This window comes from Homo sapiens, chromosome 3, assembly GCF_000001405.40.
Source record: "Homo sapiens chromosome 3, GRCh38.p14 Primary Assembly".
NCBI lineage: Eukaryota > Metazoa > Chordata > Mammalia > Primates > Hominidae > Homo > Homo sapiens.
In genome coordinates this window covers 163,176,207-163,198,192 of record NC_000003.12, presented here as the reverse complement: position 1 = coordinate 163,198,192, position 21,986 = coordinate 163,176,207, and the positions used below count along the sequence as shown (strand labels likewise).

General features: G+C 31.8%; 1 long non-coding RNA gene and 1 other non-coding gene across 2 annotated transcripts in view; both read left to right on the top strand.

Moving 5' to 3' along the window:
- LINC01192 (long intergenic non-protein coding RNA 1192) overlaps positions 1–20,950 on the top strand; it is a 126,059-nt gene extending 105,109 nt beyond the window's left edge. The window contains exons 5-7 of the long non-coding RNA NR_033945.1: positions 10,929–11,125; positions 15,265–15,362; positions 20,092–20,950. This is a non-coding gene — a long non-coding RNA (long intergenic non-protein coding RNA 1192). The remainder of the gene's footprint in view (positions 1–10,928; positions 11,126–15,264; positions 15,363–20,091) is intronic.
- LOC124906371 (small nucleolar RNA U13) lies at positions 19,218–19,319 on the top strand. Its single transcript, XR_007096338.1, has one exon. It is a non-coding gene; the product is annotated as a small nucleolar RNA U13 (small nucleolar RNA).
- Positions 20,951–21,986: the final 1,036 nt, after the last annotated feature.

Sequence of the window (21,986 nt, the reverse complement as noted above, 5' to 3'; positions counted from 1 at the left end):
TCTTAAAAGTTAGTGACTTTATAATAGTGACTGTATTCATTGGAACTAGAATTTTTCATTTATAGAAATTAAGATGGACATTTGTCAGCTGCTCATCTTTTCAGGTCTTGGACATCTTATGATAAATTAGTTGATTCAAAACATATTTTGATGTTAGACTTTTCCGGTAGCCATGCTAGATTTGCTGCCTATTCTGCTAATTATTCCTACTTTGCCTCGATATTGCTAACTCTAATACTTGAGTGTATGTGTTATGAGATCTTGCCCTTACCAAAACAAAAACAAACAAAAAAAAAACTAGTGACCATTTCAACTATTACATCTCACTCAAGCAACCCTAGTCTTCAGAAAACATACATTAAATACTTTTCAAAGATGTAGGTTGACTCAAAGTCAGTATTTTTCTCAAGCCTTGATGAAGGATATAGCTTCTAGAATAATTTGAGATAACATATTTGCAGAGTTAGGAGGTAAGATTTCATACTTATCTATACATTATTTCAGGAATATATATAATCTAAAAATCACTTAGTTTGCATCACTTTAGTGCCCATCTGGGGAAATTATAGGAACAGTGTCAGCTGTATAAACTACTACATTCAATTCAATAAATATCAGTGTACCCATATATTTATCTTCATAGCTGCAACTAAAACTATATTTTTGTGTATTTGGCTTTTTCTAAGAATTGATTTCTACCATGTATTATCCAAATTTTGGCTGATATTAATTAAAAGTATTTAATTATGTGTCATATATCTTAGGTTTGACTTTGTAAATGAACACAGCGCATGCTGAAATATAACTTTAATTATATTTCTAGGGGAAAAAAAGACAAAGTCAAAGAATAGGAAACGTGTGCCATAAGGATAATTTGCTTTTATTCTTTCTGGACGGTATTTTTCTCATTTTAGAAAATTAGAACATCTTTTAGCAAGAGAATAAATCAGGTTTAGAAGACAAGTGAGACTCACAGGGGACTGTGGTTTGGAATAGTCAATGTCCTTACAATTCTCTCATATAAAATTTTTTGAATTCTCAGGGTCTGAAAGTTTCTTAAGAAATTCCTTATCTTGTGCTTAGTGAAACTCTAAAGTCTACTGAGATTATAAATTGGCATTCTGAAAGATCAGACCTTGCATTTGCTTTTGGCTACCACAGCCCTGCAGCTCAAAAGAAAAGCTTTTAGCATGTTCACAGGAAGTCCAGCTTCTCAGTTTCTGCTTTGAACTAGACAATTTATAGATTCAGTCTTGTGATTCTCTTTTTTCAGACTGCCTATCAAAATTTGATGTGAACACTTCAATTCACAATCCTTGCATTACATAACATTTATGGCAATGCTGGATGAGTCCTTGAAAGCCTTGCTTTCAATGTGATTTCATTTAAGATGACAACAGCCAATTATTTAATTAGCTATTTTGACATGGAATGACTTGGGTTGCCCGGGTCTCATTCCTGATTATTTTCTGTATTTTCCCTTAGTACTTTCATCACATTCAGTTCCTAAAAGACCAGGTAATGTTTGTTAGTATATTTTTTTATCTATAATTCCCTACTGGTACCAATTTCTATATGAGTCCAGTTTATTGGTTACACATAAAAGAAACTATGTATTCCTAACTTAAACACGGAAGACTTCAACAGAGAGATATTTTTGTAGCTTATGAGAGTAAATAGAGATGTCAAAGAACTGAGCTTGGAACATTATCTGGAACCAAAGAAAGCAAGGAAGTCAGAACATGTAATCTACTTAGAACGCTGTTTCTGGCAGTGAGATTTCTTTATTAAGAGTGTTTAAAATCTGTCTTGCCAAAAAGACAAAAATAACATAAGCATAAATCAGAACTAAAGTTCTCCAAAAGAACTTAGTTAACAGTAAAATGTTAGTGTCTGTGTGTTCCAAATATCTGGTGTCTGGGAGTCAATTTTTAAATACTTAACAATTATTCTTGTCCTTAAATATTCCAATAAAATAATGCAAAGTCTTATCCTCTATAATGGAGGTAGCTCCTTGACAAAACTAATTTTTTACACATTCCTGAAACTTACCTTCTTTTAGACAACTTGGCTGTTAATAAGTAAAATATATAATTTAATTATTTGAAAATAATCAGAAATTATTTCTTATGCACAGGGAAAATTACTAAATATACTATCACTAATCATTTACTAAAAATATACAATATTAATGTCTATGGCCTTTTGCATAATGTGCAAGATCTTGGTAACACACCTGTTAACAATCCATTGCCATATTTTCCTCAAAAGTTTCAAGATATAGATCTAGCTTTTATAAGTTATTACTGAATTAAATGTATTTAATGATAAATTTCAGTGACAAAAAATCAGGAGATTTCTATTTTGTGTACCTATAAATAGCATGTCCATGTAAAAAATTACAAATCAGAATTGGAAATAAAGAGATGCAACAAAAACTTGTAAGTATCATCAACACAAATGTGCCAAAGCTCTTACCCACAGCCCCTCTATAATTTTTTTCCCAATTAAGGATTATCTGGTTATTGTTTCATCATGTTAATCAACATCTATGTAACATAAAATATTATCTAAAGCTTAATAGGTATAATGTATATATACTGATTGTTTCTTAATGTTTGCCAGCACTGTTGTAAATTGCTAATATTTCCGTTATAATTTTGTTTCAATTTGATAATTTCAATTTGATAATTTTTTGTGGTACTTAGCTTATTTTCGTAAGTATTTTATTTATTTTTAGATTGTATTTGACAAGCTAGACTGAATAATAAATTATTTCTTATCTTATTCATTTTCTGAAATTGTTTGTTTCACATAGGGCTTTTTAAAGGATTAACCCCCAAAAGCAGTCGTGCTAGACATTTATATGAGCAACAATTACCATCTTACTCATTTTCTTCCAAAATTAACATATTTAAACTTCCTGATTATTTTTGAAGTTTGATACCACTTTAATCCTATTGTCATTCTAAACATTAAAATATTTGTATCTTCAGTCCCAGCAGTATAACTTGATAATACTTTCAAAGTTGGAACTTTCTTATTTCAAATCTTACCTCTATGAAAAATGTTGCTCTTCTATTTCAAACATTTCTTAAGTTTTATATACAAATTCTAAATCAGACATATGTTATTATTCTACACTATTTAACAATTAACTTTAAGTTCAAAAAACTGTCGTATTCAATAAAAATAAAATAACTTGACTTTCAAATCATAGGCTAAGTGTGTAAATGAGCATAATTATTAATTTTTTGTACAGTTTGTGTTAGGAAAAATGGCTTGACCTATTTTGAAACCCTTAACAGAGATCTTTAAGGGAGATAATTTATATTGTAAATAATGAACTTGTAATATATTTGTAAAGCTTTATTACAAAAGATGACCTTTAACAGTTATAGTTATTTTTATAAAGTTGGGAGCACTTTTTCAGTGATTGCTGCTGCTTTTTCACGATAACCCTCCTGTGGATAATCATTCAATTGCTGCTCCCCATCTCAGAGCACAGGCGGGCAGCTTCATTTTAAACCATTGTATAGAAACTAGCAACAAATAACAGTTTAATGTGAAATTCACTGAAACAAATGTATGTGACAGGATTTGTGACTTACCGGGTTTTAAAAGTTTGAAATAGGGCTAAAATAACAAACGAACAAATAACAACAACAATAACAACAAAAATATTTTAAAGGCTGAATGTGGCATGAAGATAATAGCATACTAACCCTCACCTACTTAGTAATATATTTGAAGACAGAGATTTTTGTCTTTCGCCTTCATCTCTGCATCTGTCTGAGGTTTAAATGTAGCAGATAAAGCTATAAAGTACTTTCTGGCTGCTTCAAACTGCTCTTTCTTCCAAGCTAGGCTAGAGGATATAATAGTTTACCAACATATTTGGGTCCTAGAATCCCGAAATAGAAGCTTTGATTATTAATTTTAGATGCTTCTTCCTAATATATGCATTTAATAATTTTCATTTCAGTACTGCTTTCATAGCATCCAACTAATTTTAATACATTTGATTTTGTTCTTCATTTATATGTGTATGTGTGTATGTATTTCTCTTAAGACTTCTTTTTAACCCTTGAATTATTTAGAAATGTGTTTATTTCTTAATGTTGGGGACTTTTCCAACTACCTCTTCTTGGTTCCTTTCTAATAAACTTCTGTTTTAAAAAATACATTATATTATTTTTATTCTTTTAAATTTCTTAAGATGTGTTCAATATCTCAGTTGTTATACCTTTGTAATTGTTCAATGTGAGCTTGAAAAAAATGTATATTCTGCTGCTTTGGATTGAATGTCTATAAATGTCAATTATATCATGTTGACTTAAAGTGCTATTTGTGTCTTCTGTATAATTATAAATGTTCTGCCCTTTTTTATATCAATTATTGACAAAAGGTAGGGAAGTCACCAACTATCACAGGGATTTCTATATTTTTCCATTAAACTCTATCGGGATTTTTTTAAACATATATATTTTGAAGTACTGTTTTAAAAGCAGAGATGCCTTGAATCATTATGCTTTCTTGGACAACTGACCCCGTTAACATCATGCTCTTTATTCTTGATTAACTTCATTTGAACTCTGTTCCGAAATTTATATAGCTATTCTAGCTTTCTTTGATTACTGTTAGCATGGTATATTTTTTATTGTTCTTCTACTTTTAATCTGTCTGAGTATTTACATTTAAAATGAGCTTTTAAATAAAGAACAGAATTATTTTCACTTATGCACTCTGATAATCCTTATCTTTTATTTGGATGCTTACACAACTATATCTAAAGTGATTATTAAGAATTTCAATTTCAACACCAACATGTAAAGAGCTTCTGAAGTTGTTACTTCACTTAATTATTTTAAAGCTGAGCAAATAGAAAATTATTTACATTTTTTGAACCCATCACATAAGTAAGGTTGCAGAGCAATCTACCATCCTAGTATTTGGAGAGAGAGAAATTCTTTAGTCCTAGCCAAGATCTGCATATCTGAAATAGATCTCGCTAATCCAAGAACTGGTAGAAACCTTTAAATGACATTTTAAAGAATTACTGGAGGCTGAGTGTGAACTAATGTGAGAGTGAGAAACTTGCCCCCTTAGGATGCCCACAACTCTTTAGTGAATGTTATCATGAGAAACTCCACTAAGTGAAGAATCAGGAAAGATATCCTCACTGTACTGGAAGAAAAAGAGAAACATCAACCATTGTGAAATATGCTCATTGTGTTCTTCCTAAGAAAGGCCTACTTTCTAAGGAAAAAGATTTTAACAAAGTCTGATCTGACATGAAGGAGAAACATTGCTCTGACTGCAGCCCCTTTTAACCTTTCTGTTTTACATAAAAGGGTAAAATGAGCTAAGAAACACTGTAGAGGACTGTGCCTCAAATAATAGGCCATTAAATGATGGATCTAGTCATAAGATTATAGAATGCTTCCCTTTAGTCATCCCTTTACCATTAATTATGATGCCTCCAATACAATAACAGTGGATTACAGAGAAAAGAGCTTCAGGAAAAATACTCTCCCTTAAGGGAAGTACTTAGTGAATCCCAAAGACAACAAGATAGACAAATACATATAGTTGAAATTGCTGGCATCTATGGCTACAGAAAACAGGTCAACTCCTAGCCACAGTAACATCGATCCTTACAAAAAAGCTTATTTTCTCAGTTCTTGTTACCTGATACAAAATGAACAGCTTTCAACAGTAAAATTACTAGTCATTCTAAAAGCCAAGTACAGTCTGAAGATGCATAGGACGCATCAGAACCAATCGCTTCCTTACACCTTATACAGAAATCAATTCAAGATGGATTAAAGACTTAAACGTTAGACCTAAAACCATAAAAACCCTAGAAGAAAACCTAGGCATTACCATTCAGGACATAGGCATGGGCCAGGACTTCATGTCTAAAACACCAAAAGCAATGGCAACAAAAGACAAAATTGACAAATGGGATCTAATTAAACTAAAGAGCTTCTGCACAGCAAAAGAAACTACCATCAGAGTGAACAGGCAACCTACAAAATGGGAGAAAATTTTCACAACCTACTCATCTGACAAAGGGCTAATATCCAGAATCTACAATGAACTCAAACAAATTTACAAGAAAAAAACAAACAACCCCATCAAAAAGTGGGTGAAGGACATGAACAGACACTTCTCAAAAGAAGACATTTATGCAGACAAAAAACACATGAAAAAATGCTCACCATCACTGGCCATCAGAGAAATGCAAATCAAAACCACAATGAGATACCATCTCACACCAGTTAGAATGGCAGTCATTAAAAAGTCAGGAAACAACAGGTGCTGGAGAGGGTGTGGAGAAATAGGAACACTTTTACACTGTTGGTGGGACTGTAAACTAGTTCAACCATTGTGGAAGTCAGTGTGGCGATTCCTCAGGGATCTAGAACTAGAAATACCATTTGACCCAGCCATCCCATTACTGGGTATATACCCAAAGGACTATAAATCATGCTGCTATAAAGACACATGCACACATATGTTTATTGCGGCATTATCACAATAGCAAAGACTGGGAACCAACCCAAATGTCCAACAATGATAGATTGGATTAAGAAAATATGGCACATATACACCATGGAATACTATGCAGCCATAAAAAATGATGAGTTCATGTCCTTTGTAGGGACATGGATGAAATTGGAAATCATCATTCTCAGTAAACTATCGCAAGAACAAAAAATCAAACACCGCATATTCTCACTCATAGGTGGGAATTGAACAATGAGATCACATGGACACAGGAAGGGGAATATCACACTCTGGGGACTGTTGTGGGGTGGGGGGGAGTGGGGGAGGGATAGCATTGGGAGATATACCTAATGCTAGATGACGAGTTAGTGGGTGCAGCGCACCAGCATGGCACATGTATACATATGTAACTAACCTGCACAATGTGCACATGTACCCTAAAACTTAAAGTATAATAATAAAAATAAATAAATAAATAAATAAAAAAGAAAATATCTACAAATTAAAATGGAAAAAAAAAAGAACCAGATTCACATATGACATTGACTTTGAATTTATGAGACAAGTAATTAAAAATAACTACAGCTAATATATTAAGGGCTCTAATGAAAAATGTTAACAACATGTAAGAACAGATGTGTAGTATGAGAAGGGAGATGGACGTGTTCAGAAAAAAAGTCAAAGGAAATGCTAGAAATTACAAAAAAAATACAGAAATCAAGAATGTCTTTGATGAGCTCCTCCGTAGACTGAAAAAATTATGAAAATAATCATGAGCTTGAATATAGAAGAAAAGAGGTTTAAAACTTAAATACAAAGAGAAAAAAAGAACAAACCAACAGAGTTCCTATTAGCTTATTGTTCCAGAAGTTTTTGCTGCAAATAAACAGATATCAATTGCCACATCTTTTTGCATATACCTATCTCTCTACATTTCAAGGCTAGCAATTTGCCCTGTGATCTCATTTTTTCTGACATGTTCAAGACATTGATTTTTTTCTAATTTTTTGATATAATACAGGAGTCATAACTTTCAAACTGTGTCTGTTAGTGCTGAACATGAAAGTAGATATTTATATTTTCAACCATAGTTTCTGTTATTCTTTAAAAGTCTATTTAAACCTGACACAATAAAATGAAGGAAAACGCTTTCTACATACTTCCACTTTATGAAAATTGTATATGTCCAGGCCATTGAAATTTTCAAATCCAAAACAAATATATGTTTCTATGTTTATCCTAGGAAGTGGCTACTAAGTTTTTGTGGTTTTTTTCATAAATTATTAATCCATACAACATTTATAAACTTTTAAAATATTTCTTACAGTTTATAAAATGTTATTTAAAAATAAAACATAAAATCACATACAGTTAACAGATACATCTGAGATAGAATTTAGCTGCTTAAGTATTTTTAAGCATCTTAATCATTTATTCTTTTGTGGAGGAAAGAAATCCAAATTTGGAAGGTGACTTCTGGAGTAGCTGTTCAAGTTTGTTTCGTTGTGCATATGCTTTCCATTTAAACAACCAAAACTCGTAAAAAGTAGAAAAACAAAGAAAACATGTAAAGTCTCTGAAAATTGTCCTGAAGCGATACAAGGTAAAAAGAAACTAGAAAATTTAAATCTCCATAAGAACAGCAGTAGTCCATAATACTTGAGATATGACCAGCTTCCTTTATTACCTCCCTAAGTCAGCATGGCCAAAGCTTTACACTGGGTGTATAAAAGCAAGGAGATAGTGTTCCTTTTCCCCAACTTTCCTGTCAAGGGCTACAGTATCTCACCAGAGGGGCAGACCACCAGCATTTCTCATCTACCCCAGCTCTGTGTTGCAGAAGTTCTCTCCCAAGAATGAATAATCATTATTTCTGGGACTCTCTTTCTCAGACAGAGAGAAAAGGTCTCCCATGGCTGGGACCTCAGCCATGTCATGTAAACACAGCACTATAAAGCTTTTCCTAAGGAAAATGATTTTATTTGGAACAGATAAAACTTGGGTAAGTTCACTCTGAGTTAAGTTAAAGAGATCAGGATACTCTAAAACAATTCAAGTTTGGTGGTAAGCAATTGCCACCAGAGAAATGCAAATCAAAAACCACAACAAGATACCAACTCACACCTACTAGAATTGAAAATCAAATAATACCAAGTGTTGAGGGGGATGCAGAGAAATCAAAACCCTCATATACTTCCAGCAGATATGTAAAATTTTGCAACTGCTTTGGAAAACAATTGTCAGTTCCCCAAAGTTTATACATGGAGTTATCATACAACCCAACAATTTCCACTCTAGTATATACACAAGAAAATTGAAAACAAAAATCCACACAAAAACGTGTGCACAAAATGTTTATAGCAGCATTATTCATATAAGCCCAAAATGTCATCAAACTGAATATTCATCAATTGATGAATAAATAAAATGTGATATATTTATATAATAAAATATGATTTGACTCTATAAAAAATTAAGCACTGATACATGCTACATATATGTATAAATTTTAAAAACATTATTTTATGTGAAATAATTTAGTCACAAAAGACTACATATTACAAGAGTCTATCATCTATCTGTCTATCTATCTATGTATCTATCTATCTATAAAGAATAGGCAAATCAGTAGAAGCATAAAGCAGATTAATTATTTCCTAGGACTGATGATGCTGAGGGAAATGGAAGGAGATTGACTGCTAATGGCAATGGTTTTTTTTTTTTTTTTTTGGGAGGCATAGTGAAAATATTTTAAAGTTAATTGAGGTAAAAGTATTGTACAAATCTGAACATATTAAAAACCATTAAACTGTAAATTTTAAATGAGTGACTTGTATGGTAGATGATTATACATCAATAAAGTTATTATTTAAAAACTAAGGTCTTATTCTAAAATTATTTTATAAATAATTACTTTCTATCATTTTTTTCTCTTACTATTAGAAACTACTTTCAATATCTTAAAACCACATTATAAATAGGGAAGATATAACTTCTTTGTTACAGTTTTACAGATGATGAATTAAGCTCAGATAATTTAAATTTTCCAAGCTCTCATGGGAGCATCTGTAGGATATAAATTTAGGACACTGCACATTATTACAGAAGTTGACCACGGAAATCATGGGGTATGTGAACAAATACCTAAAAGATGGGCATGATGGCTATAGGAGGATTTCACTCAAATTAAATAAGTTCAACTTTAACTGCTTGCTGTGGAAGATAGAGCCATTAAATTTTGAAGGTAAAATTAGAGACATAAATAATGATAAATAATACTGATAACCGTTATTAACACATTATTGGTTGAAATATAATTTTGTAATTCTTTTTGAAGTATAATTTGATGGTTCCTCTTTAAATTAAGAGTTTAGAATTAAGCAGTATGCTCGTAGAAATGTATTCTCCATAATATTTTATCTCTAAGACATTAGCTTGTTTTTCACCTTGACTACCACCCCAACATATACGTCCCTGTCATTTTCAACCAACCTTCTCAAAAGTCAAATTACTTCTCTTTTGCTCCTAAACATGTCCGTCTTTAATCATTTTTAACCGTATAGTCAGAAAGATTGTAAAAATATGTAAAGCAAGTGATGTGATCACTTAAAATTTTCAAAGTTCTTTTGAATTCACTTACAGAATGCTAACTCCTTACCATTTCCTACAAGGCAGTACATGACTTGGCTCCTGATCTACACTTTCATTATCCACACTAAACTTCTAAACACAGTAACTTCTTTACTTTTATTTAAAAATTGGTCATCCTTTTTAGTATACTACCTTAACACGGTTCCCTCTGTTTAGAATACTACTCCTCTAGTATGTAGCGTAACTAGCTTATTCTCTAGTTTATTGATATTTTGAGCTGTTGATTTTGTTGACATTTTATTAGTTTACTGTTTTTAATTTCATTAGATTTTGCTCTGAGTTTTATTCCTATTCTTCTCCTAACTTTGTGCTTAATTTGCTTTTATTTTTCTAGATTCCAAAGATAACTGCATCCCACAAATTTTAAGTTATACATTTAATTTCATTTAGTTCAAAATATTTTAACATTTCTCTTGAGACTTATTTTGATCCATGTGTTGCTTAGAAGTATTTTGTTTAATTTCTAAGTATTTGGAATTTTTTAAGCTATCTCTCTGTTATTGATGTTTGTTTATTTTCATTATGTCTGAGATAATATTTTGTGTGATTTCTGTTCTTTTAAATTTGTTATGTTGCATTTTATGGTCCCAAATGTGATCCGTCTTGGTGAATATTCCATGTGAGATTGAGAAGAATGTGTGTTCTGACACTGTTGTATAAAGTATTGTATATATGTCAATTAGAGATATTTGATTGATGGTGCCATTCAGTTCAACCATGTCCTTATTGATTTTCTAACTGCTGGAACTGTCCATTACTGACAGAATGCTGTTGAAGACACCACCTTGATAAAACAAAAACATCAGCCAAATTAAATTTAAAGGAGTTTAATTGAGCAAAGAATTATTCATGAATCAAGCAGTCTTCCAAGCCAGAGTAGGCTCAAATACTCCAGCACAGCCACGTGGTGGAAGATTTATGGACAAAAGAAGAAAAGTAACATATAGAAAATGGAAATGAGGTACAGAAACAGGTAGATTGGTTACAGTTTGATGTTTTCCTTATTTGAACAGGTTTCAAACAGTTGGCTACATTTGATTGGCCAAAAGTTGGTGATTGGCACAAGTGAAAGTGGCATGTGATTTGGGAGGGGCCAGGGGCAGAATGACAACTTAGGCTTTGTGTCCCCACCCAAATCTCATCTTGAGTTATAATCTCCACATCTCAAGGGAGGAAGGTGATTGGATCAAAGAGGTGGTTTTCCCCATAATGTTCTTGTGATAGTCAGTGAGATCTCATGACAGCTGATGGTTTTATAAAGGTCTCTTCCCCCTTCACTCTTCTCTCTCCTGCCACCATGTGAAGAAACTCCTTGCTTCCCCTTTGACTTCCACCATGATTGTAAGTTTCCTGAGGCATCCCTAGCCATGTGGAACTGTGAGTCAATTAAACCTTTTGCATTTATCAATTACTCAGTCTTGGGCAGTTCTTTATAGCAGTGTGAAAATGGAATAATACACTAAATTTAAGAGTTGAGTCAGAAACTGCTCTTTCATCAAATAGACTCTTTCCTGAGAACAAATACTACGTCAATCTTATTTAACTCTATACCTCTAACTTCTGATACATGGCATGCCACAATATGCACTTTATAAATACTTCTGTAATACATAAACCCTTCAAAGAACATTCCAAGTGTTTTACTGAAAGCATTAATAGAAGTCACCACCGAACAACACCATTGGAAACATAATATGGTATGTCTCATATTGCAGAGCCATGATTGTTCAGCAGCCTCTAGTTATCTCTTCAATGCTGAAAAGAATTGTCCTTGTCATTGAAAGAATAACAAAAATATCAGTATTTTCACTAAACTTCATTGAAAGAAACTTCATGAGATTAGAGGCCCAAAAAGGTGGTATGACAGCATTAGTAATTTACAGAAATCTTGAATTAGTCATTTTTCACATTTTAGTAGAAAATTTGCCACTGACTAATAAAAAAATGGTTACAATACACTACAATAAATCCTTCCTTCCTTCCTTCCTTTTCCTTCCTTCCTTCCTTCCTTCCTTCCTTCCTTCCTACTTTTTGTAACACTTTGAGAAATCTAAGCCCCGTTATTCATTATGATTGATTTCCTACTAACTGTTCTGTGTGCTTACCTCAGGCAAGATTCATGACAAAAAATTATTCACATAAGTTGAAACCAAAAAATACTTGCCACATTTCAAGTTTTATGTACAACAGAGTAAAACATGATTTAATTAGAAACAAAAAGTTTGTTTCCTAAGACTGCAGTCAAGTAAAGTTTTGAATTTAGGGGACCAGATGGTTGTCTAAAATAGCACATATTTTAGAATCTTTTGTAGCAGCAAAGTAGACTTAAATCAACTTGTTGAGAGGTACACTTTATTCAGGTCAATCAACAGTTGCTACATCCAAGCTGATTGAAATTCAGTGAAATAAAAAATGTAACTCCTATATTCCAGACTTTTACTGAGATAAAACATACAAATTACTTCCCATTTCCTTGTTTATGGATTGGATAATGTAATAGAAATTTACTCAATAGTTTACAAAAATAGAAATATAAATACAAATAGATGAAGCAAATATGAACTGGAAGAGATAATCAACAGCTAGATCAAATTGAAATAAAATCTTGATGATAGTCAGGATCCTTACATATTACACAAATATATTCTTACTATTAACATGTATATTCAGGATTGGAAATGTGATTTATATATAGAATTGGAGATAATCACATTCAATTAGAAGGAACTGAGAATTTAACTTCAAGGTCATTCAGAAAATATACTAAAATTATTAAACTGTTTATCATTGAAATCCACTAAAACTTAAATATTAGCAATTGCCTTGATTTCCCTGATCACGCATTTACTTGTATGGCATTGGCAATATGACTAAATGATTGCTGAGAACCTTTTTCATTTTAATATTACTTAACTCTATCATTTACCTCACCAGAGGAAAAGAATAAACTTCATTTATTTTTATTCATTTATTTGGCAAATAAATATCAAGCAGTTACATGCAAAACAAACTTTTTGAGATGAGTGTGCTGAGGGAATAAATGCATCAAGTTCTTTTTCTCATGGTACTTACATTTGATTGTGGATGGAAAGGCAGAAAATAAAGAAAGGTGTAAGTATTAATGTGTTTTTAAAAAGTAATGCAATGTACTAGAGAGCATTGGAGAATGGTTCTATTTTTATACGGGGCAAAAGAAAGTGTGTTCAAGAGCAAAAGTGAGTTGAAGTGGAGAAAACACATGTTTAAAGTTGTCTTGTGGGTGTGCATTTGAAATAATTGGCTCTTCTATGACTGGCAATAGTTATTATTTTAAATTTTTAACTGTGAACTTTGAGAATATGTTATTAGAACATGTTTCTTTATTCATTGGTACATATTAGGACAATTTGCAAAATTAGGACAAGTTAAGACAGCAAGTAATAAAAGGCAAAACTGAGCATGCTTTCTTAAAAACAAAATTCTTAACTTTGTTTTGAAGCTTTGAAGAATCTTTTTTTAATGCTGATGTCATGCAGATATTTGAGACGGAATTTTGAAAATGCAAGGGAAATAAGATTAATCAACAACATTAACTTTTTAACACATGAGAAATAATATCTGTTATAGTTGGAGTAAAATGTGGATGAATGTACAGATAAATTTATCCATTTTTATTTTATTTTCTGATTGTGAAGTAAGAGGAACTAATGCTGGAACTAATGAAAGAGGTAGTGAGATTAGGACGGTAAATCATCTGGACATATTAGTCCCATGGATAATATTAAAGATAACTAGAACAGTCTGGAAATAATTAAACAAGGCCAATTAATATTTATGTTGGAGAACCTGAATTTAAAGCAACATCAATCAAAAATTTATTTGTCCTCATTTCTTCCGTTTCAATCGCTCTGATAAGAAAGAACTGTGCTCCATATATCTGGAAAGCAAGAATGAAATAATTTACAGATATACTATTGAAATTTCAGTTAAGTAATATATTTAATTTTATTATGTTTTATATAATACAAACCATACATGTGGCATATATGTGTGTATGTTAAGCTGTATGTATAAGAAAAGTACCACAACAGTTTTTAAAATATACATGTCAGAGAAAAATGCTTATGTTTCAAGTGTGTTAGCTGATAGACTGAAAAATATTTCTAATACAAAGCAATTATATTTACTCTATCAAGTACAGGTTAGGAGCATAACTGATCAATAAGAAATTCCAGAATTTTTTTATATATAATCATATTATAATAATTTATTTCTAATAATACAGTTGTTTTTATTGTATGTTTTTCTCATGCTTTGGTGGTACATTTTTTACTACCTTTAGCCACTTTTCTATTGAATGTGAAAAGGAAGTGACATTTGTATATCTTCCTGTGTAAAAGATAAAAGAAAAGATATAAACATGCTACTTTTAATTTTTTAGTGTATGTTACTAGGTTTTCTTTAGATTTGTGTCAGTTTTATAAAAATAATATTTTTAAAATGTCTGAATCCTTATAAGTTCATGCATATAACTTGCTACATAGATAGTTGGGAGTTTTGTGTTCTGAAATAACCTAAAAATAAAGAGATTACATATCGGTATCCTAGGTATCATTCTGTCTCAGAATCTTAAATGCTTTTTGGCAAGCTAACTACATTTTTGCCATTTATTTTTATTATATTTAAAATTGAACTACAAATAACTTTAATAGCAGTATGGGAATATTATAATATGTTTAATAATTCTTTAGTAATAAATTCATTGACAAACATCAGATTTTTTTAAACAAGGAATTTTTAGTAATTTTAAAACTGCATTCCTTAGAAGAGTAGTATGTATTTTTGTGTCTTGTTTAACGAGGTAAAATATACCAAATAATATCATAGGCCTCATTTTTTTTTCTAATTTCATGGAAGTAGCATAGAGATGTGTAGTTTTATCTCAATATTCATTTTTCTTCCTTTCACTTAGTAAGGTAAGAACAAATTATGCTGTGTTTAGTGCTACCTAGCTAGCAAAAACAGCCCCTCTTGCAGGAAAGACTTAATGTGTAATTTAGCGCTACTCAATGAGATATGAGGGAAAAATGATATGTAAAATTTTTCAATTACATCCTTCAGGGGAAGCTTTTTTCTCCTCCCCATCCTGATCACTAGTATGAGAAGGGGTGCTAATGGACCAGCCTTGGCCTTGCAGATGAAGATGATGAAGGAAGAAGGTAAAAGGAAACTGTGTACCTGTGTGACCTCTGGTAGTTCAGGTGCCCTATCCTGCGGGCCACCTGTTAGCTTAAACTTTTGTATAATTGAGAAAATGAGGGTTTTCTCTTAATTAAGGCACTGTTGTTTGTTGTTTACTAAGGCAACCAAATAAATCACCTAGCTAATAAAGAATGTGTACTTTCAAAATATTCAAATATGAGATCTGCAGATGTTGAAACACTGTAATTAATATATTCCCATTATTGAAGAATACAGTTTGTTAAAAATAAGTGTTTCTTCACTGAGATCGATTATATAATAGAATAGTAATGCCTCCCTTTACATAACTTGATATTCAGATGCTTTGAAGCTGTTTTTTTCTTTAATACCTACAGACATGTTCTCGTAAATATAATCTACCATTTTCTTCTTGGTAATGTAGCAGATATATAAAGATTATTTCTAAAACAGCCTTCCTGCTTCCCAGTCCAAACCCAGGTCATTCTCTTCAGTCACCCTCTACCATATGGCTGTGTTTACCATCAGGTACAGTAGCCACAAATTAAATTCAAAGTCTCAGGAAAGCTAGCATTTCAAATCTTTTATCCTGGACTCAATTCTCTCTTTCTGAGGTCTCTCACCATTCCTCTCTACTTCCCAGTTTAAGGAAGCTATTTTTACTATACCCACATGCTAACAAACACAACTACTTATTCTCTTCTCCCTCTTCTCCCAGACAGGAACAAAAAAAACACTGAAGCATTCTGTGGGTTCCTAATACATATACCCAGTTTGAGTCCGATCCTAAAAGAATAAAATTGACCATTTCAAAAGGAGGCAGTAGCTAAAATCAGATCTCAGATTGAACTATCAGATTGGTGAGCTAAAAGAAAACCAGACCTTACAGATTATTAATCAATAACTTAATCTGTTTTGCCTACATATAAGACATGGAAATATCATATAATTGTCAACTTTGACTCCTAATTAAAAAAAAAAGAGCAAAAAACTAAATAGGCTTGTTATAGTGTGTTTTATTGTGTTATATTATTTTGTCTGAGGGAAATTCCGGAAAAAATCTCCTGGGTCAGAATTTCCCAAATTTTGTTCTGAGTTCTGAGACTCCAGTAAGTGAGAGGTGAGGTGCTAAGAACAGATGGTGCAGCAATAACTCACCTTCAGTCATAATTAGCTGTATTAACTAACATTCACATTTACAGCATCAATAAATGAGTGTCATCTTCTTTATAATTATACTTTACTTGAAGAAATATTTAATGAGCTTTTACTGAATAACAAACCATTGTAGGACATTTCAAATATATTGAAATTATAAATTAATTGGTTTAGCTATGATGTATTTCTTTATAATTTGGTAATCAGCCAGGAAAAAATAAAGTTAATTAAATTTTTAGTCATTGTTTACATTTTGTTGTCCTCTTTGAGTTATTTAAACAGAACATGCCAAACACTTCTCTCATAGTACATAAAACACTATCTTGCAAGAGTTTCTTTCCCCTCCCAGCTGAAGCTCCAAGATAGTCAGGCCCAAATAAAAGTGACTTTCGAATTCATAGTCCTTCACACTGTGTTTGCCATACATTAGATGCTCGATCATTTTTTATGGAGTGACTAAATGAATTAGAGTCATTCATTGTACATAATTCTACAGTTAATATTAGAAGTTATCTCCAGACATGCACATTTCAGAATTGAACTTCTGTCTGAATTAGAGCTTTGCAAAAATTTAGGGAGAGAAAAATATCCACATAAGGTGTAACATACAATGGGGAAGTTCTGATAAAAAGAAAAAAAATAACCCATTGGCACAGAGAACGTGAAATTTTCTTCAGAAGAAAGTCTAAAGGAGAGCTCTTAAAAGAGATATGACAATTATCTTTCAGGACAAAATCTTCCAGGACAAAATCTTCCAGGAAGATGTTCTGACTAGTATCCAAAAATGAAGGAGCAAACCTAGAAATTCAAGGAACCTAGTAAGATTAAATGTTATTGACTGATACTGAAGCAATTACGTTTCTCAACTAAAGTCTTTTGCTGCAAGAAGTCAGTTTTCTATTCCAATAAATGGAATAGCAGACTCTATGCCACAGAGAATTAGGAGAAACATCTCTGAAGCACAATGCATTACTCAACTAATACATCAGCAGATACATTTAAATCTGATCACCCACAATACACTTTATATATGTCCAATAATTTTATGGTACTTCAGAAATGTATCCAATAAATCAGCCCAAAAACCACAACAAATTATTTTTCCCTTTGCTGTTGTTCTTGTGTGTTTGTTTTATTTCCCCACTTGTCTTTGATTCATCACTTGTTATTCACAGGTGCATTTTTGTACTTTTTGAGTTTGAAAAATATGTGAGACTCTTGCATTGTTCTTGTAAGTTAAATCATCAACATGATCATTATATAAAATATAATAGTTTTTGTAAACTAGTTTTTTGGAAAACTAATTGTGGTGGCTGTTTTTACTATAAAATTTTACTCCACTAAGAGTATGTCAGTATTCGTACAACTAAATAACTAGAAGGTTTTAGCAGAATATAAATGGGTATTATGTATTATGTCACTGAACTTCTCAAATAAGTAGAGGTCATTAGCATGCTTTGTGTAGCTCTAGCCAACCAACGATTTCACTTTAAAATATTTAACTTTCTAATAATGACCTTGTGACTAAGCAGATCATATTACTTCTAAAACTGATAAACACAAATATCCCTTATGAACTGATATTCTTACATTTGATTATACTGCTTTCTGCTGTCACAAAATTATATATGAACAATGACTATTATAATCTTTATTTTGCTATATATGTTACAGAATACTAAAAATAAGCATGATGCAGACTTTTTCATAGACAGAATTAGAATTGTGTAACAAACATCAATTTTTCAAATAGAGCTTGAGGCAATTTCTGAATTTAGACTTACTTAATTTCTCACAGCATCATGTACCCAATTTTGTTAAAATGAAATAGCAATGCCTTTATCATAGGGCTGTTTTGAAAATTACACACAAAACATTAAATTTTTAGCTTGTCACTCCTGGGTCTTCCATGAATGATGATGACACTTTACTCCTTCTTGACATTATTTCTAGTGAAATAAAGTGAGCTTACATAAATCTGTATTTAAGAATAAAGTTAGTGTTTTTATTCATGTTATCCAAGAAGAAAGAAACAGCATTCACCAAATATTTAATGAGACCTCTAATACAATATTCTCTTTACTGGGAATATAATAGGGAATAAGGAGAGCAAGGTGCACCTTCTAAATAGGCAATGGTGAATTCAGGTAAATATGATTGTGTAATGGTGAAACACAAAGAGGATTTTGACAGAGAGCATTCCCCAAAACGGGGCACATTTTACTTTGGAAAGGATTTCAGGTAGGACGTAAAAGAAGATATAATTATTTCAGCTAAAACTAAATTATGAGAGGCAGCTTGTCATGTAAATATGTAGAAGAAAATAATTTTAGACAAAGGAATGTGCAATTGGAAATCTCCCAACATAAAAATGAACTTACTATTTTTTATAATCAGAAAGTAGGTTCATGTGTCTTGATTGCAATAAAGTATATTGTCAACAAGTTGGTGGGGGCCATATCACACAGTGCTCTGTAGTAAATGCTGTGGAGTTGGAGTTTAGTCTAAGAGAATGAGAGCGCTACTAGGTGGTATTTGCTTATTTTTTCAAAGGAGATTGTTGCTATTGTGGATAAAATGCATTTTGATGGGGCAAGTGAAACAAAAAAAATCGGTAGTTTCATTCATAGATCCTGATAATCAAATCAATTTCAAAAGATAAACTCATTGACATGAATAGACAATTAAAAAATGAGGTACTTTTGTGGTTCATAAGTGTGATATATGAGTTTTCATGCTCATGTATGAGATGTGCCTCCCTCAAAGCTTAGGACTTCAGCACATTGCCTAATACGAAAAAAACAAAGAAACAAAACCAAAATATATAAATGTAAAAAACAACTTTTATAAACAGGTCGATAGCAAATACATAATATGCAGACTTTAAAGACATTTTAAAAATCAATGGATTCTTCAGTGAGCAAAATAAGTAATTTATAGGAGAATAAACATAAAATTTATAGATGGACTTCTCTTCATCCTTATAGAGATATAGAAAGAATAACTGGGATATTTTTGGACATGTGATTATAGGAAGACATCCCTGAGGAGAAGATAATTCAACTGAGAACTGAACAATTATAAAAAGCCATGAACAAAGTGCTTTCCACAATATTTCACAGATACAGCTAGCTAGATGCCCAGGAAGAGTCAGAAAACAATATGAAGATAGGCAAAAATTTCAGAATTTCACTGTGGTCTGAATTATGGAGCCCCAAAAAAGAAATTTAAATTCTTGTCTGGACACCATGAAATTGATGTCATTTATCAACTACAGTTGTTATGAAGAGGGCTATTAACATAATTGCTGCTATTTTTGCAATAATGTGATGAACTACCAAAACAAGCTGAAATTCAGCAACATTCATTCTCTTGGACTATAAATATTTGTTTCTGTCTTGCTGTACATTATATACATAATCTATTTAAAAGTTCATTTAAATTTTTTTTAGATTCTCATGTATTTAGTTACCATATATTTAAATAAAAATACATACTTTTATGAAGACGTCCTATTGTAAAATAAATTAACTATAACTGACTTCTGTAAATGTTTTCCTTTCTCTCCAGATGTATAAAGAACCTCTGAAAGAGTCCCAGTTTTACATTTCAAAGTCTTTTTCCTTCTGTTGTTTATTGTGTTGGGTTGGAGTGGAGGATATTTGATGGAGAATTGATTCTGAAACTTGCCAAAATATGGATAATACTTTGCTCCTTTTCCATTGTGGGTTATCACAAAGAAGAGTTTCACTTTTAGTCATCTATTTACAGGTACGGCAATAGCTATTTTCTTTTTCTTTTTTTTATTTTAGGTTTTATTTTAGGTACATGTGAAGGTTTCTTGTATAGGTAAACTAGTGTCATGTGGGATTGTTGCACAGATTATTTTATCAACCAGGTATTAAGGAAGCTCAGTACCCAATAGTTATATTTTCTGCTCCTCTCCCTCATCCCACTCTCCACCCTGAGGTCGACCCCAGTGTCTGTTGTTTCCTTCTTTCTGTTAATGAGTTCTCATCATTTAGCTCCCACTTATAAGTGAGAACATGTGCTATGTGTTTTTCTGTTCCTGTGTTAGTTGGCTAAGGATAATGGCCTCCAGCTCCATTTTTGTTTCCCTCTCCAGCATCTGTTTTTTTTTTTAATTTTTAGTAATATCCATTCTGACTGGTATGAGATGGTATCTCATTGTGGTTCTGACTTGCATTTCTGTAATGGTCAATGATGTTCAGCTTTTCTTTTCATGTGCTTGTTGCCCACATGTATGTTTTGTTTTGAAAAGTGTTTGTTCGTGTCCTTTATCCACTTTTCAATGGGGTTGTTTGCTTTTCTCTCGTAAATTTGTTTAATTTCCTTATAGATGTTATGACCTAGCAGCTGTACCTTTTTTAATTTCAAGACATTCAATAAACTAAGAACCAACAGCACAGTTGATGTGTCTTTCCATGACACCTGCCATCTTTCCTCTCTTCATAGCTATAAGAATATTTTGGAAGAAGAGTTGCTGATAAATGCCACTTAGGGAATCTCTGAGCATCTGTTATTATAAATGGTTGACTAAAATTTAGGGTAAAGCATCCTATTAAAAATGAAGTTAAGGACTTTATGTAGAACTTTAAAATTTGTCCCCCAAATCCTGTTGTATGTCAACATATTATAAAATAAATTGTAAATATCATAACTCAGCAAAAGAACATCATCTAAAACTCATTAAGAATTTAATGTTGAGTATATCAGTGACACAAAATCATGAGGCAAGATGGTTTAAATATGTTACAAATAATAATAAATAATCATACCCTCTGAGTTTAAATTCTTTATCACCCTGTATGTACTGCCACTCAACACTTGACTTCAGGGCCATAATCCTTAGTGAACCCATCTAACATCCACCTAAAATAAAGGTTTGGAGCCACTCTTCTATGCTTAACAAATAGCCTTAAGCATCATGAATAAACAGAGACAGGCTAGCTCCTTTTTGCTCTATAGCCTTAAGTAGTTCTGACCATGACTAGAAAGACATAGCTGCAAGCAGCCTGATCTTTTTTTAACATCTTGACTTTTTGCAAGGTATTTCTAAAATATGTTACTAATATGTACTTCTTGGTTGTTTTACTAATATTTGAAAGAACTAAAGTTATCATTAGTCACGTTTCATTTGAAACTACAGAAGCAATAAAAACAACAAAGTTCCAATATAAAATCCATTATTAAATAGCTTTCAACATAATAGATTATTTACTACAAAATAGCAAAGTCTAGTTATTAATAGTTTCCTACTAGAATGACATTTTTTTCTTTTTGCCACATTTTAGGTTAACTCTATTTGTTTTAATCTCAATTTTATTGTGCATTTCCCTAAGTACTAAAAATACCAGTAGTGTCAGCAGCAATTTGCTACTTAACAAAGCTCCAAGTAACACTGTAGTATGCCACTTGCTAGTAGTGCTATGTTTTATCCAGAG